At 35.5% G+C, this 18802-nt stretch overlaps 1 long non-coding RNA gene, 1 other non-coding gene and 1 pseudogene across 3 annotated transcripts in view; 1 reads left to right on the top strand and 2 right to left on the bottom strand.

Annotated features, from left to right (window-relative positions):
- The window catches only part of OR4M2-OT1 (OR4M2 overlapping transcript 1), a 105539-nt gene that overhangs the window by 23828 nt on the left and 62909 nt on the right, over positions 1-18802 (bottom strand). For both annotated transcript variants that reach the window (NR_110480.2, NR_110481.2), the window contains 3 exons: positions 12975-13070; positions 12382-12470; positions 11956-12159 (listed from right to left, as the gene is read on the bottom strand). This is a non-coding gene — a long non-coding RNA (OR4M2 overlapping transcript 1). The remainder of the gene's footprint in view (positions 1-11955; positions 12160-12381; positions 12471-12974; positions 13071-18802) is intronic.
- Positions 10964-11064, top strand: LOC124903611 (small nucleolar RNA U13). The gene has a single exon (XR_007064836.1). It is a non-coding gene; the product is annotated as a small nucleolar RNA U13 (small nucleolar RNA).
- Positions 14253-14888, bottom strand: OR4H6P (olfactory receptor family 4 subfamily H member 6 pseudogene; annotated as a pseudogene).

Below are 18802 nucleotides of genomic sequence, written 5' to 3'. Positions count from 1 at the left end.
TTTACAAGAAAAAAACAAACAACCCCATCAAAAAGTGGGCGAAGGACATGAACAGACACTTCTCAAAAGAAGACATTTATGCAGCCAAAAAACACATGAAAAAATGCTCATCATCACTGGCCATCAGAGAAATGCAAATCAAAACCACAATGAGATACCATCTCACACCAGTTAGAATGGCAATCATTAAAAAGTCAGGAAACAACAGGTGCTGGAGAGGATGTGGAGAAATAGGAACACTTTTACACTGTTGGTGGGACTGTAAACTAGTTCATCCATTGTGGAAGTCAGTGTGGCGATTCCTCAGGGATCTAGAACTAGAAATACCATTTGACCCAGCCATCCCATTACTGGGTATATACCCAAATGACTATAAATCATGCTGCTATAAAGACACATGCACACGTATGTTTATTGCGGCATTATTCACAATAGCAAAGACTTGGAACCAACCCAAATGTCCAACAATGATAGACTGGATTAAGAAAATGTGGTACATATACACCATGGAATACTATGCAGCCACAAAAAATGATGAGTTCATGTCCTTTGTAGGGACATGGATGAAACTGGAAATCATCATTCTCAGTAAACTATTGCAAGAACAAAAAAGCAAACACCGCATATTCTCACTCATAGGTGGGAATTGAACAATGAGATCACATGGACACAGGAAGGGGAATATCACACTCTGGGGACTGTGGTGGGGTGGGGGGAGGGGGGAGGGATAGCACTGGGAGATATACCTAATGCTAGATGACGAGTTAGTGGGTGCAGGGCACCAGCATGGCACATGTATACATATGTAACTAACCTGCACAATGTGCACATGTACCCTAAAACTTAAAGTATAAAAAAATAAAATAAAATAAAAATAAAAATAAAAATAAAAAGAAGTAACTAAAGATCTTGGGGTTTTCCTGTCTTTCTTCCAGGAGTAAAAGGATTCAAAATTTTGGACGTTTATTTTAATAATCTGTCACGCTCTGAAGACCCATAAATCAAAACAGCCTTCTCTGAGCTTGCTTAGAAATGATTCATCCTATGAGTATAAAATGATGAAGCTGTCTCTTCAATGCCCTGTTCAACCCTGACTTTAAAATGCTTTAATTATTGAGACCAAGGCTGAAAAGAAACAATTTGTCCACCCACTCCACAGCTAAAACCTACTCTATACTATCATCACAGTTCCCTAAGACATTTCCTTACATGCTGCTTTCTGTTTCTTACCACTGATCTCTGAGCATTTTACATAGTTATTCCCATCATTATTATCTGTCCTACTGTCTCAAAAATAGGATGGTTTATGTAAATGTTATAACAACATTCCACCTACCAATTACTGTGACAGTCTTGGTGCCTTCAGGAACTATGGGGAGGAGGTAGAAGAAGCCTCTTCCACCACCCGCAGTGGAGGACTTTATCCTGGGTACATGTTGGTATGCATCAGTTTCTGCCCTGATGTAACAGTAAACTAACTAGCAGCATGAGCTGTAACTACAAAAATCAATCCTCTGGAGGCCAGGAGAAGCCAGGTAGGAACATAAGCCCTGAGGGAATAATTTAAAAGTTGATTTGCACTTCATCCAAAGAGCACAGAAACACAACTTTTGAGTTTCACAGAAGAAGTAAGAAAAATGGCGAATTTCCCAGGATTAGGGGTGGAAAATGCTACGATGTACAATATGTGCTCTCTAGAGTATGACGTGCATTTTCAATTCTATTGTCCCAGAGGACACAATAAGTTGTGCTGGAACAACTGGTTAACCAGATTTTTTAAAAGAATTATATTTTATAACTTATACTTAACATAAATTGCAAAGGAGTAATTTTTTTAATTACTAGAAACATAGAGAGACTATTTAAATTATTTTGGAATAAATAAAAACTTTTAAGTATATCCTGCCCCTATGAAGGAAAAACAATAAGAAAAGAGTTATAGCATATTTGATAATGAAATTTAAAATTTATCAATGGCAAACACAAATATAGGGGAAAATGTTAGAAATTAAAACAATTTAAAATTACTAGAAAATAAAGACAAATTTAACAGGCAAATAATGAACAGAAAAAAATAAATTTAAATAACTCCATTATATAAGAAGCACTTAAAAATCAGTCATACTATGGCAAAAATAATAATGATAATAATGCAATTTCAAAGTGGGTGAAAAACTTGAAGACATTTCTCAGAGGAAATACACAAATGGCCAACAGGTATAAGCAAATATGTTCAGCATCACTAGTTGTTAAGGAAATGCATATCCAAACACCAATGAGATATTGCCTCATGCCTATTAGCATGGCTATTATCAAAAAACAAAAGAAGTGTTGGCTAGAATTTAGGGAATTGAAACTCCTATACACTTTTGGTGGAAATAGAAAATGGTGCAGTCACTATGAAAAATAATGTGTCAGTTCCTCAAAACATTAAAAACAAAATTATTATATGATTCAGCAATCCCACTTTTAGGAATATGTCCAAAAGAATTGAAATCAGAACCTCAAAGAGATACCTTCACACCCATGTTTACTACAGCATTATTCACAAAAGCCAAGATATGGAAACAGCCTAAAAGTCCATAGACAGATGAACAAAGAAAATGTGTTAGACATCAGCTAGAATGGCAGAGTAGGTGATCTCAGTCTTTATTCCTCCTAAAGGAACAACAACTGGGCAAATATCCACAAATGAAAATATCTAGCAGAGATCAGGAATCTACTTCAGAAGTTAAAACAACAGAGCAGACAGAAAAACTTCAAGAAAAAACACAAAAAAATGGTAGAAAAAACAGTTTCATTTTGCCTGCGTCATCTTCCTCAGGCTGGCAGTGCTCAGTATGGAGAGGTCACTGCTCAGCTTGCAAGTTCCCCTTGCAGAGAAAAGGAGAGTGGAGTGAACCATCTTACCCAGCCTACTGGAGCACTGCCCAAACAACCAGCTTAAGTTTCACCCATCCCAGATTGCTAGGGAGACCAACATAGGAGAGAAATCTGTAAACTGCTGGTAAGAAAGAGAAATGATGAGGTCTATCAGTATCAGTCCTGTGGTAGGAATCAATGCAGTCCCCAGTAGCCTGATCTGAGCGGAATTCTGGTAGCCTTCTATACCAAGGACCTCAACAGCCCTCATGGATGTGACACAGGATTCTTTGAGGGCCACTTTGCCAAGTGGAAATCTCGATGGCCAGCAGAGCCTCTGCTGAGGCTTCACTCAGGCCCTCTGAGCTCGTCCTGCTCATTTGGCCTGGCAGGCTGTGCTCCACTCATGCTCACTCACCCAGACGCCATGACACCCACCGTAGCTCAGTGCTCAGCCCACGGTTGGTTTGGGCATGCTATGACTGACTTCTGCCTTGAGCGCTGGCATCTGGATAAGGGGGATGCAGCAGTGCCCAAAAACTCAGAGATGCCAGCAACTGTGGAGCCCGAAGAGGTGTTACAGCTTTTGCTCTGGGAGTCAAGGTCTGAGCCCCCAGGAAGTGTTACAGCTCTTGTTCGTTCTCACTGCTGGCAGTTTCAGCAAATGGGGATGTGTCACAGCTCATTCAGTCCTGCTGCCCACAGCTCAGCAATTGGGGACTTGTGGCACCCAGCATTTTTTTTTCACTTCTGTAGCTTGGTGAACAGGAGGTGTATCTTACAGCTCTTTTCGCACCCACTGTTCAGTGGATCCTGGATTCTTGTCCTGCAACCAACAGGAATGAAGCATGCAGACACCGCAGAGTGAGCAAGGCTGATGAGATTTTTATTGAGCAGCAGAAAAGCTCTTGACAACAAGAGAGTAGCCAAAGTGGGCAGCCCTCTGTGTAAGAGTGGGGCTGAAAGCAGAGAGCCATCTGTGAGGCTGAGTCTGGGGTTTTTATGGGCTCAGAATGGAGGAATCTGTGCTGATTGGTTCATGGGCAGGCCTGGAAAAAGCACCATTTAATTGACTAAAAGGCACTGAGGAAGTTCTCAGTTGGGTCGTGGACTCCACCTGGAACTGGCGGCTTGGTTTTCAGGCCTCAGGTTGTCTTTGGCTTGAAGGTTGGGATTCACCAGGGACTTATCCCTGTCTGCCTAGGAATCTGTCTGTCTCCTGTCATTATCAGCTGCACATACCACACTGCTTTTACTACCAAGGAACCCACAATTATCATTGCACAAACTATAGTACTTAACTCCACAGAGGACTCCAGCAGGTTTAGTCACTGACAAAATCAACACCCAAAGATCACAAAGAAGCAGGAAAACATGACACCACCAAAGGAACAAAATTAATTTCTAGTAACCAACCCCAAAGAATTGGAGATCTATAAATTGCCTGGAAAAAATCAAAATAATTGCCTAAGGAATCTTGGGGAACTACAAGAGAACACAAATAAATAGTTTAATGAAATCAGGAAGACAATCCAAGAACAAAATGAGAAGCTCAATAAAGAGACAGAAAATATTTTAAAAAGAACCAAACAGAAATGTTGGAGCTGAAAAATACAACAGCTAAACTAAAAAAATGTAATAGAGGCTTGAACATCAGACTAAGTGAAGCAGAATAAAAAAATAAGTGAACTCAAAGACCGAGCATTTTAAATCATCCAGTAAGTGGAGATAAAAGAAAAAAAAGAATAAAACCTACAGAAGCCATGGAATACTATCAAGAGAGCTAACATTAGAATTATAGTAGGTTCAGAAGAAAAATAGAGAGAGCATTAGATAGAAAGCTTATTTAAGGAAATAATCATAGGAAACTTAGCAAATGTCAGGAAAGAAATGAGCATCCAGATGCATGAAGCCTAAAGTTCTCCAGTCAATTCAACCAAAAAAAGAATCCACAAACATACATTATCGTCAACCTGGCAAAAATCAAAAACAAAGAGAGAAGCTTGTAAGCAGCAAGAGAAAAGAATCATGTCATATAAAAAAGGACCCAAATAAAGCTATCAGTGGATTTCTCAGCAGGAACCTTGAGGATCAGGAGAGAATGAAATAATATATTCAAAGCAATGGAAGAAAAATAAAACTGCCAACCAGCAATATTTTGCCAGCAAAGCTGTCCTTCAGAAATGAAGAAGATAAAGACTTTTTTAGAAAAAAAAAAGAAAAGTTGAGTGAGTCTTCACTATTGCTTGCCTTACAAGAAATGCTAAAGGGGGATTTTTAAGATTAAATAAAAGGCAGCTAATTAGTAACATTAAAACATATAAAAATATAAAACTAACTGGTAAAGTATATATATGGTTAAATTTAGAATATTCAAGCACCATAATGGTGGTGGTGTAAATCACAACATCATTATAAAGTTATAAGATGAATGTATGAAAAATGACTATAGCTATAATAAATTCTTAAGACATATAAAAAATGTAAACTGTAACATCAAAAGCACAATGTAAGAGAAGGGAAGTAAAAGTACAGAGCTTCTTTAGCAATCAAAGTGAAGATGTTATCGTCTTTAAGTGAATTGGTAAAACAATAAGAATATTTATGTAAGCCTCATGGCAACCACAAATTAAAAACCTATAGTAAATACACAAAAGATAAACAGAAAAGAATCAAAGCATACCACCGAGGAAAATGATCAAATCACAAAGGAAAACAACAAAGGAGTAATAAAGGAATAAAGGACCTACAAAGCAACCAGAAAACAATAAATTGACAATAATAAATCTTTACTTACCAACTATAAATAAGCAAATTTTGTCAATCAAAAGACAAAAAGTGGCTGAATTGATTTATAAAAATAAGATCCAACTAAATGCTGCCTACAAGAAACTCACTTCACCTTTAATAACACACATAGACTAAAAGTAAAGGGATAAAAAACAAAAATATTCCATGAAAATGAAAACCAAAAAAGAGCAGTAGCAGTTACATGTGTATCACACAAAATAGACTTTAAATACTGTCACAAGAGACAAAGAAGGTCATTAGATATTGGTAAGAAAGTCAATTCATCAAGATAATAGAACAGTTATAAATATGAATACACCCAACATCAGAGCACCTAAATATATAAAGCAAATATTAACAAATCTAAAGCAAGAGATAGACTGCAATGCAATAATAGAGAACTTTAATATCTGATTTTCAACAATGGATAAATCATCCAGAAAGAATATTATTAAGAAAACATTGTCTTGAACTACTTCAGACTAAATGAATCTAATAGACATACACGGAATATTTGATCCAACAGCAGAACACACATTCTTCTCAAGCTTACACAGAATATTCTCCTGGACAGATTGTATGTTAAGCCACAAACAAGTCTTAACAAATTTCAGAAGACTGAAATCATATCAAATATATTTTCTGACCGTAGTGGTATGAAACTAAAATCAATAATAACAGGAAAACTGGAAAATTCATGTACATATGGAAATTAAACAACCACCAATGGGCCAAAAAAAGAAGTCAAAAGGTAAATGTAAAAATATCTTGAGACACATGAAAATGGACATGACATACAAAAAGGTATGGGATGCAGCAAAAGTAGTTTTAAGGGAGAAATGTATAGTAATAAATGTTTACAAAAAAAAGACGAAAGGTCTCAAATTAACAACCTAACATTACAGCTCAATGAACTAAAAAAAGAACAAACTAAGCCCAAAGTTAGAAAAAAAGGACATAACAAAGATTAGAAAAGAAATCAATGAAAGTGAGACTAGAGAAACAGTAGAAAAGATCATGAAACTAAGATTGATTTTTGGAAATATAAATAAAATCAACAATACTTGATCTACACTGAGAAAAAATAGACTTAAATAAATAAAAGCCAAAATGAAAAAGGAAACATTACAACTGATGCTACAAAAAATATAAAGAATCATAAGATAATACTATGAACCATTACAAGTCAAAAGATTGGATAGCCTAGAAGAAATGGATAAATTCCTAGACACATACAGCCTACAAGACTGAATCATGAAGAGCTAGAAAATCTTAACAGTAATGAGTAAGGAGATTGAATCAATAATAAAATCTCCTATCAAAGAAAATCCTAGGACCTGATGGCTTCATAGTTGAATTCTACCAAATATTTTGAAAAGAACTAATACCTATCCTTCTAAAATCCTTCCAAAAAGTTGAAGAGGAGGGGATATTTTAAAACTCATTTTACAATGCCAACGCTGCCTTCATACCAAACCCAGATAAGGACACCAACAAGAAATATAGATTATAGGCCAATGTCCCTTGTGAACAAAGGTCCAACAATCCTCAACAAACTACTGGCAAACCAAATATACCAGGACATTAAAAAGATTTTGCATCACGACAAAGTAGGATTTATTCCTGGGATGTAAGAATTATCCAACATACACAATCAACAAATGTGCTACACCACATTAACAGAATAAGAAATAAAAACCATGAGATCATCTAAACAAATGCAGAAAAATCATTTGACAAAATTCAACATTCTTTCACAATACAAAATTTTCAACAAATTATAGGAATGTACCTCAACACAATAAAGCCTGTATATCACAAGCCTATGATAAACATTATACTCGATGAGAAATTGAAATGTTTCCCTCTAAGATCAAGAACAAGACCACTCTCCCCACTTCCATTCAACATAGTACTGGACGTCATAACCAAAGTAATTAGGAAAAAGAAATAAAGTGCATCCAAATAAAAAAGTTAGTGTCTCTGTTAGAAGATGGCATGATCCTATGTAGAAAGAATCCTGAAGACTCCACTAAAAAACTGTTAGAACTAATAAGCAAATTCAGTAATTTTGCAGACTACAAAATCAACAGAAAAATTCAGTTGCATTTCTTTACACCAATAATGATCTATAGAAAGAAAAAGTCAAGAAAAAGTTATCATTATGAGCACATCAAAAAGAATAAAATACTTACAAATAAATTTAACTAAAGAGATAGAATATCTGTACACTGAAAAGTATAAAAGATTAATGAAATAAATTGTGGAAGACAAAAATAAGTGAAACATATCCCATATTCATGAACTGGAAGAATTAATATTGTTAAAAAGTCCATACTACTGAAAATGATCTGTACATTCAACGCAATCCCGATCAAAATGGCAATGAACATTTTTCACAGCAATGGAAAAAATAATTCTGAAATTCATATGCAACCATAAAAGAGCATGAAAAGCTTAAGCAATCTTGAGTATAAGTACAAAGCTAGAGGTATTAAACTTCCTGATTTCAACTCCATTACAAAACTGTAATAATCAAAACAGATGTTGCTGGCATAAAAACATGTATACCAATAAAACAGAATAGAAAGCTCAGAACTAAACTCACATACCTACAGTCAGCTAATTTTTTCAACTAAGGTACCAAGAATATACAATGTAAAGGACAGACTCGTCTATAAATGATGTTGGGAAATTGGATATCCACATGCAAAGAATCCGTGCTTCTCTTATTCCAATCACAAAAGTTAATTCAAAGTGGATTATAGACTTAACATAAGACCTGGCCCCATAAACTCCTAGGAGGAAACATGGGGAAAAGTTCCTGGACATTGGTCTCATCTTTATTTGCTTGATGAAAGAGAAATCTACAGAAAGGGAGAAAATATTTGTATACCACACATCCAATAAGGAGTTAATATCCAAAATATATACAGAACTTATACTACCAAATAGCAAACAAACAAGCTTCTAAATGGGCAAAAGATATTTTTAAAATGATTTCATAAAATGGGCAAAGGATCTGAATAGATATTTTTCCAAAGAAGATACACAAATGGCCAACAGGTATATGGAAAAAATGCTCAAAATCAGAAATCATCAAGGCAAATCAAAACCTCACTGAGATATCACCAACCACCTGTTAGATTGCCTTTTATCAAAAAGTCCAGTGATAGCATGTGTTGGCAAGGATGTAAAGGAAACCTGATATGGTTTGGCTGTGTCCCCACCCAAATCCCATCTTGAATTATATTTCCCGTAGTCCTCACATGTCATGGGAGAGACCCAGTGAAAGGTAATTGAATCATGGGGGCAGTTTTCTCATGCTATTCTTGTGATAGTGAGTAAGTTCTTACAAGATCTGATGACTTTACCTGGGGCTTTATCCTTTACTCAGTTCTCAGTCTTCTCTCTCTTGCCACCATGTGAAGAAAGACATGTTTGCTTCCTCTTCCACCATGACTGTGACTATAAGTTTCCTGAGGCCTTCCCAGCCATGCTGAAATGTGGGTCAGTTAAACCTCTTTCCTATATAAATTACCTAGTCTCAGATATGTCTTTATTAGCAGTGTGAGAACGGACTAATACAAAACCCTTGTAAACTTTTGGTAGAGATATAAATTAGTGCAACCATTATTGAAGACAGTATGTAGGCTCCTCAAAAAAAAAAAAATAAACTTCTCATATAATAACAGCAATCCCACTTCTAGGTACGTATGCAAAAGAAATAAAACCACTATCTTAAAGAGATATCTGCACTCTCAAATTCACTGCAGCATTGTAACACTAGCCAAGATATAGAAACAAACTAAGTGTTCATCTACAGATGCATAGATTTTTTTAATGTGGTACAAACACACACAATGGATTATTCAGCCTTAAAAAGAAGGAAATCCTGCCATTTGCCACATGGATAAACCTGGAGGACATTATGCTAAGTGCAATAAGCCAGATACATAACGACAAATACTACATGATATCCCATACAGGTGCAATATTTAAAAAAATCAAACTCATAGCAATGGACAGTAGAGTGGTGGTTAGCAGGGGCTGGGAAATGCCAGGAAAAAGATGTTGGTCAAAGGGTACAAACTTTCAGCTACAAGATGAGTAAGTACTGGAGACCAAATGTACAGTAGCTTCAAATTTGCTAAGAAAGTAGATCTCAAGTGTTAACACACACACATACACACATTATACGCAAATGGTAATGATGTAACATGATGAATATATTAATTAGCTTGGTTGTGGTAATCATTTCGTAAGTATGCATATACCCTAAATATATGCAAATTTTATTTGTAAATCATACCTCAATAAAGCCTGAGAAAATTGTAGTATATATATGCAATGGAGTATTATTCAGCCTTTAAAAAGCAACTTACAGAAGGACAAATACTGCATGATCTCACTTATGTGTGGAATCTAAAATACTCAAACTGAAGGTAGGATGGCGGTTGCCAAGAGTGGAAAGGAAAGGGAGAAATGAGGAGATAATGGACTAAAGGTTACAAAGTTTCAGTTATGCAAAAATGAGTGAGTTCTGGAGAGTTAATGCACAACATGGTGTCTGTATTACAATGCAATACTGTATTGGACAACTGAAATGTACTAAGGGAGTAGATCTTAAGGGTTCACACCACACACAGAAAAACATAACCCTGTGAGGTAATGGATATGTTAATTATCTTAAGTGTGATGATCTTTTCACAGTGTACACATAGTTCAAAACATCAAGTTGCACATTTAAATATGTATGATTCTTATTTGTCAAATATACTTCAATAAAACTGGAAAAGGGGAATGAAGGAGAATAAGCTAGACCATGTGGCCACATGCTGGTTGACCTCCCACTGAAGTTCATTCCTCCTTTCAAATGGCTATCATAAATATCTCTTTTTGGGGTTTCTGTATTTCCTCCCTCTCTCAGTCCCTTCAGGCACAATGGTGTAAACAGCTCCACCCCATCTTACCCCTGGCCTGTGTGGTACTCTATACCTATAAATTCATAGACAGCATCTCGTTAAATAAATGTTTATCAAATTATCCTATATTAAGTGTGTCATTAACTTCCTGTTGGAACTCTAAATGATATAATTTTCTATAAATGTATCCTTCCTTGAGTGTATCAACTTGTTTCATCTTATTGACTGTACCTTTACAACTAAGATGCTTCAATATATTAGATAATATAAATTTTCACCCTCTCCTTTCTGTTTTATGAACCTGGAGGGCTTCCATCTTCTGCTTTCATCCATTTCTGTTGTCTCCTATGCCTACTGTACATCTGTCATCTTAAAAGTGCCTTTTGATCCCTTCGTAGTTCATAAGCGTGATGACTGAGTTTTTGCACTCCTGTGTGAAATGTACCTCCCTCAAACCTTATGACATATATACATTACCTGACTCACATGAAGAAAGAAAAAAGAGATTGGGATTTTTTTTAAAGTGGCTTTAGCCACCCTGCATTGCATATATTAGTTTATTGATCTCATTTCTTCCTCTTGTTTTGCTGGGATATATTATCCCACACTTTCAAAAAAAGAGAGTACTTATGAAGTAAACTTTATAAATTTTTGTATGATTAAATATGCTTTATTCTATCTTCCTGATAGATTTGTTCTGTATAGAATTCTAGCCTGAAAATCAGTGTGAGAAACTTTTCCACTGTATTCTAAGGATGAGCTTGCTACAGAGCATACTCATGCCATTTGAATTTCTGTTCATTCGTGAGCTATACGGTTTTTTCTTAATAATTTTACAATATTTTCAATCGTTAAGGTGATAAAATTTCATAATAACGTGCCTTGGGATTTTTTTTAAATCTTGTGGTGGGCATTCAGTAAATCTTTCATATCGAGAAAATTAAGCTTTTCTGTTCTAAGAAATTTATTTTCATTGTTTCTTTTAAATCCATCCTTCTGTTTAATTTGTCCTCCTGGAATATGTGTGAGTTGAATGGTTTGCCCCTAACTTGATTCCTTGTGTTTCTTGTTTTTATCTTTCATGTTTTCTATTTCTTTGACATTTTCATTCTACTTTCATAGAGACTGTACTTTTATGACTTCTTTGACTACTTGTTTTATTTCTTTTAATGCCATATTAATTTTGTTTATTGTTCTTTTTGATTTTACCTTCCAAAAATAATTTTTCTATATTTTTTCAGTACATCATATTCTTATTTCAAGATTACAAATATTTTCTTTCATTGATGAGAAGATACAGTTTTTTACAGTTCCCCCCCCCCCGCCCCGAATTACCTCTAATTCCACCAGTTTCCTTTTGGCTTTTTTAAAGACTTACTTTTTTCTTTTTTTCAAAAGCCTTATGTAAATTTTAGATTGATCTCTTAAGCCAGCTTACTAACTGGCAGACTTCTGGTCAGGGTTCCAGTAGAAAGGTAGCCATTTCATTTGTAATCTCCAAAGGCAGATGTGACATTAACATTCAGTTTCTTAAACAAAGGTGCCAATGTTCTGTCTGTGACTCATATGCTACCGTTAGCATCTGGGAGCAGAAAGAGAGGATAGAAGATTGAACTGTTCCTTTCTCTTAATCTTCATTAGCAGCCCTGAACCTCACCTCCCGCTGACCTGGCATCCTGCATCCCAATCATCGTAGGGATTCCAGGAAATGAATCTCTCCCCTTTTCCTCACTATTCCTCTTGTTGGGAATTTAGACTTAGCCTTCCCGACCCTGCCAAATCAGTTACTACTTTTTTGTCTTACCTTTTCCAAACTTTTGTTGAAATCTCTTCTCTGCATCTAACTCCTGTCCTGTTTCTTTGTTCCTGTGGGTCTCAGCCATTTTTTTCTTACTGCAAGTGTTGTTATTTTTATTATTAATACTTTGCTCTTAGGAGGGAAAAGGAAACCTAATGTATTCTATCATTTTTAATATAATTTGTGGGTTTGTTGTCTATCTTAAAAAATCAGGAGTTTAAAAAAAGGATAGAATGACCCTTTTGCAAAGGGAAAGTAATATGAAAATAACTATAAGGACATGCAATAACTATAAAGAAATTTTAATAATCAAAATGTTAATGGTGATCATGTATGAGAGGGCTGGAGTAGACAAACCATTTTAAAGACTTTTCAAAAGTCCCACCAACCAACTACTATTAACATCAGATTGTCCACTGGGCTTCAAAAGGAATATCTTTTTCTTATAAGGTCATTCTAAATTATTGAATTGAAGTTTAAAAGAGCCTGAGGCAAGTCAATGCAATATTTTAGTTGGTCCACCATGAATAATGTCAGGTCCCCATTACTAAGGAAAAAAATAGAAATTGGAGTTACAATCAACAGATTTTGACAAGTACCTACTGTGCAAGCCCCTCTAGTCCATACATGAAGAGTAGAAAAGAATATACATCATTTGTATTCTTCATAAGTTGTAGATCTCAGATAAAAATCCACTAAAAAAGAGAAAAAGGTAAGTGATATTTTATAAATTGCATACAGGATTGCTTAAGGCATACAGAAAATAAATGTTGAACAAAAATAATCAGGACAGAATTCTTGAACAACATCAGTCATGAGACAAGATCTAACAAAATTTCTTAGAAGAAAAATGCCTTTTCCAGAATACTGAGAATACTTAACTATTTTTCAACTTTACTAAGAATACCACAAGAAGAAAATGTGCTTATTCCATTTTGTTGTTTTAAGGAACTGAAGACAAGTTCAACTAAAAATTTATAATAGAATTACATCTCCTTAGTCATTTCAATGGTACAAATACCAACTCATTTTAGTTGCTTTAATCTAGTCTGTTTTTATTGGCAAAAAAGTAAGATTTCTTTCAGTAAAGATAGTATTATAGTAATGGGTAGAAGAGTATTCAAATTCTCCAAGAGGGTCTTTGAAGAAATTGCTGTCCACCTCAAAATATGTAAAGTTCTATTTTTTTTTTTCCTGCACAGAAACCATCCTTTGGGCAATTTGTTGATTTATACTAACCCTCTTCATTATAGGAAGTATGTATTTCTATGTCTGCATTTGTTGTATTGTATTGTAATTATCTCCTTGCAAATCTGTTTCCCTGACTAGATTTTGCAATATGTATAAGAAAAGACTAGAGAAGGACGAAAAAGAAAACAAAAGAAGGAGGGAAAAGGTGCAGCTTCTGGTAAATTAGACCTCTTTTTTGAAGAGACATGATATGGTGAGAAGATATGATCAGGGATATCTTTCTCTTATAACCCCACTCTAAATTACTGAATGGTAGCTTAAGAGAGTTTGATGTGAATAGAAGGGATTTAACGAGGTTAAATGAGATATTGAGTAGGAGTGTTAACTCTTGTACTCTAGAAGAGAGAATAAACCTTGCCAAGTATGGAAAGGTTTAAGTTTAGCCCGTCTAAAATAGCCTCAAATTATTTCCTGTTAGACAAAATATAAAAGCTGCATTTTAGGAACTGTTTTTTTAATTATTAGTAAATTAGGGATCATTGAAGGTATCCACTAATTCAGTGATTTTGCAATTCTGACAAACTATCCTCTCTGCTTTTCCTTCAAGGAGATCTTGCTACTCCATAGCCGCCTCATGGCATTCTTTACTCCTCATTCCTCAGAGTATAGATGAGTGGGTTCAGCATTGGGGTGATGGTGGTATAGAACACAGACACAGCTTTATCCAATGGGAAAGTAGTGGATGGAGATAAATAAAGATACACGGAACAAAGAAGAAAGTTACTATAGTCAGATGAGATCCACAGGTAGAGAGAACTTTGTGTCAGCTCTCTGCAGACTGTTTTTGAAGACTAAACAGAATGACTGTGTAGGAGGCCAAAAGAATGAGGAAACACCCCAGGGAGATGAGACCACTGTTGGCAACCACCAACATATTTACCAGAGTTGTATCAGCACAGGCAAGTTTTAGGACTGGGTGGACATCACAAAAGTAATGGTCTATAACCTGAGCATTACAGAAGGGCAGCTGGAAGGTCAGGAGGGTCTGAACAAAGGAATGACCCAGGGCCCCCAACCAGGACAGTGATGCCAGCACAGTATAAGCATTAGCACTCATGATGACAGTGTAACGGAGGGATTGGCAGATAGCAGCATAGCGATCAAAAGCCATGACAGTCAAAACAAAAATCTCAGCACAACCAAAAAAGTGGAAGGTAAACATCTAAGTTATACAGCCCCAGTAGGAAATAGTCTTTTTCTCAGAAACAAAGTCTTCAATCATCTTGGGTGCTGTGGGTGAGGAATAGGCAATGTCCACAAAAGACAGGTTACTGAGGAAGAAATACATGGGTGTGTGTAGTCGGGAGTCAGAAAAGACCATAAGCAAAATGAGCAAATTTCCCACCATGATCACGACGTAGAAGAGGAGAAATAAGACAAAGAACATCAATTGCATTCCAGAATCTTGGGAAAGTCCCAGGAATATAAACTCAGTGACATTGTTGGCCACTTTCATGGGGCCCCAGGCAGGACTCGTGGAGTGACTCTGGTTCTCTGCAAAAATAAACACGTTATAAACCGTGGTAAGCATAGTAAAGCCTATCAATAAGAGTCTTGTGAAAACACCTATATGATGTTAAATATGGTAGAGAAAGTTCTTCATATTTCTTGAACATAGTTCATGAATATTTTTCTTGTCTTTAGCTTGATTTCCACACTATTGACTCACATTTGAATTTCTTTCATAATTAGTCTTATAGTTCCTCTTTTCCATACAAGAACCTAGAGAATCTGAGTCTTTTTTATTGAATTTAATGTTTTTCCCTAATCAGTGCTCTCTCTCCCCCCACCTCCAACTTCTCTTGTCAGAAATTTACTTTGGAGTGAGAACTTTGTTTAAATAAATAAATTAATTTTTTGAGGCTGTAAATAAAAGCATGAAGTCAGAGTATAAGATCTGATGTATAAAATTTCAGAATCCTTCAAATATAATGTATGCTACTCACCTATAGAAAAGTAACATTTTATTTAATCAAGAGAGGAAGACTCAGTTTCCAATTTCTCAATTAGATTAAAAGTCTCAATTCAATTAAAAATTAAGTCATTTTTAGTGCTTATAAATCAACATTGAGGAAATTTGAATCATAAGCCTGGACCTGCAGTTTGAAAATTCCATTTTGCTTGCCAGTAAGGAATACATGAGAAGTGATCAACTTATACAGAGAAATACTTTTTTCTATGTTGCTCTGAAGAGTTGAAACATTTTAAAGTTACTGAGTTCCCTATCATCCTCAATCCCTTTGCAGGTCCCTGTCATCCTCAATCCCTTTGCCTTGAAAAAGACCCAGATAACTCTCTGTCCTTGTGATCACAGGAAAAATTAGGAATGAAATTTATCATACAGATAATGTTATAAATGATAGTTTAAAAATAAGTGTCTGAAGCCATTTTATAAACTGTAATAGGAATCCTTGCATCATACAGAGAAAAATAATGGATAAAAATAATCAGGAAAAAATTCTTAAAGGAGATTAATATTAGACAAGATCTGAAGTTTCTTGAAATAAAAATGGCTTTTCTGAAATATGAAAATTACTAGCTATTTTCCGTCTTTACTCAGAATACCTCTTTTCTGCATGGAGAGCAGAAAGAGCACTGCCCAGAAGCTGAGTGGTGTAAGTTTGAGTGCCCTCATCAGCTTTATAACTTTGGGTAAATCTATTTATCTTCCCTGGATCTCAGTTTTCTCACCTATAGAAGACGAATGATAAAATTTTTTACCTCACAAAGCTGTTTCAGAATTCAAATGAGATCTATAGAACATGTTTTGAATTTATGAGGTGTTTCCTTTTAATTAGAATCTATCAAGTGGAATCTCTCTAGTAAGCATAATTTGTAATTTGGTGTATTTAGTTATTATATAAAAGCTATATAATGTAACTACTAGAAAATATTAAAAACATATACAATTTTATTTCTGAGATAATAGCTATAATATCTGCCAATCTCCATTAAAGAAATATCATTAATAGTAGCTAACATTTACTGAGCATTTTACCATGTGCAGAATCGTGTGCTAAACTCTGCATATGTTATTTAATTCCATCCTCACAACAATATAATAATTTTTATTATCTCCTTTTTACAGAGCAGCACTAAAGATTAAAGAGGCAAATTGCCCAATATAATTTTCCGTAAAAGGACTGGTATAATTGTGGTATTCTTTCTCCAGAACACACATAACTGACATATCCTTAAATAAATCATAGGTAGATAGAAAGATTAGATAGATAAATTTCTCATAAAAAGAACTGAACTTATTCTTTATTTTATTTTTTAATTACTATTATTTTTTGGAGAGGAAGTGTCACTGTGTCACCCAGGCTGGAGTGCAACAGCGTGATCTCGGCCCACTGCAATCTCCGCCTCCTGGGTTCAAGTGATTCTCCTGCCTCAGCCTCCCAAGTAGCTGGGATTACTGTCACCTGCCACCACAAAAAGAATTGAATTTAAACAATTGCTTCCTTATCGTGCAAAGTCCTTCAATTGGAGAATATGTTTCACATTCCTAAAATCTTTAAATAATCGGCGTCCTATACCAGCAAAGTCAAATTGCGCTCAGTCATCACCAGTTGGCAAAATCATAAGGGCTGAAAAAATGTTTAGGTAAACAGAAAACACATTGTACTTACTATATGCCAAGTTTGATTCTAGATGTTTTACATATAGCTCATTTAACTCCCACAATGATCTTATAAAGTAGTCCATCACTACTATTCCCACTTCAGAAATGAGGAAACTGAAGCACAGAAAGAGTAAGTAACTTGCCCAAGGTTATAGATCTAGTGATTGGCAGAGTTGGTATTTGAACCCACGCAATGAGTCTTCAGGATCTATTTTCCTAACTACTATGCATATCCTGGGTCTGATGGCATCAAAGCCACCAAATATGTTTCTCATTTGAAAGCCTTAAACCTTCTACAATAATCAAAAGACTCCTTTTCTTCTAATCATGAAAAGTTTTTTTTAATTATATACACTATTTAGAGACAAAGACTATAGCTGCAACTAGCAAGATCATCACAGCATAGAGTCTGTGCCAACTTTTCTCAAATTAAATTTACAGTGGGGATGTAATAACAAGTGATGTGATACTGATCATTCATTCAGTCATTATTTGATTTGGCAAGTATTCTCAATCAAGTGGAGGAGGTCCACATGTAAACTGTGACAGTTCTCTGTGAAGGGGCTCAGGAAGGAAGCCCAGGAGAGACAGGACTGCCTTTTCAAACGTTGTCACTGAGTGGAATTCTGATAGATGAGTTAGAGTTAACCTGATGATGATGAGGATTGCAGGGTGTGGGCACAAAAGAATAGACAGGGCAGGAAGAACTTTCCAGGCCTAGCAAATAGAATATGTGAAGGTAAAAATCATTACACCATCCTCTTTGGGGAGTGCCAGCAAGTTGAGTATGATTCAGCACACAATCCACATAGGAAAGTGTCAGGAGATGAGGCTGACAAGAAGGCAAGTCTAGATTACAGAGTCTTGTGTGTTAAGCTTAAAAGTTAGCAATTGAATTAATTGGGGTGCCATAAAGAAAGATCCAGCCACAGGAGTAGAGTAGCTGCGATGGAAGGTGGGGGAGAGAAGTTGTGAAAAAGATGCCTGGAACCCTAACTGGTCTACTTTCAAATTTCAGCTTCAGCATTTACTAACTTTATGACTTTAGGCAAGTTACTTCACTTCCCTTTGCCTCAGTTTTCTCAAGTGTAAAATGTGGATAAGAATAGTACATTTATATAGAGTGTTATACATATTAAATATATTACATATAAAGCACTTATGTGCATAACATACTTTAAGCAAATATATAATTATCATTATCCATCTTTGCTATCAGAGAAAATGTTGATTGGAAGGAGAGACAGAAGCCTGGATAGGAGTCATCTTAGAACACTAACCTCCTTACTATGTTAATCTCCTGATTCTCACCTATATGCATGCTTATGCTTGTCCAAATCTTAGACTGTATCTACTGCTCACACCTACCCTCCCAAGTATACTCCTTTGACTGGAGCAGCAACAGAGTACATTCTATATTCTTGCATAGATGTATTTAAGAGTTCAAGCATGGATGCCCAAAGATGTTTGGGAAGCTGATCTATTCACCCTGAGTGGTGACAACTCAACTTTATCTAGACTCCTCCTGAGGAGTTCATCAAATTAATCATA

The sequence above is a fragment of the Homo sapiens genome, chromosome 15 (genome assembly GCF_000001405.40).
Source record: "Homo sapiens chromosome 15, GRCh38.p14 Primary Assembly".
Taxonomy (NCBI): Eukaryota; Metazoa; Chordata; class Mammalia; order Primates; family Hominidae; genus Homo; species Homo sapiens.
The sequence above is the reverse complement of the archived record's forward strand: the minus strand, read 5'-3'. Positions and strand labels throughout refer to the sequence as shown.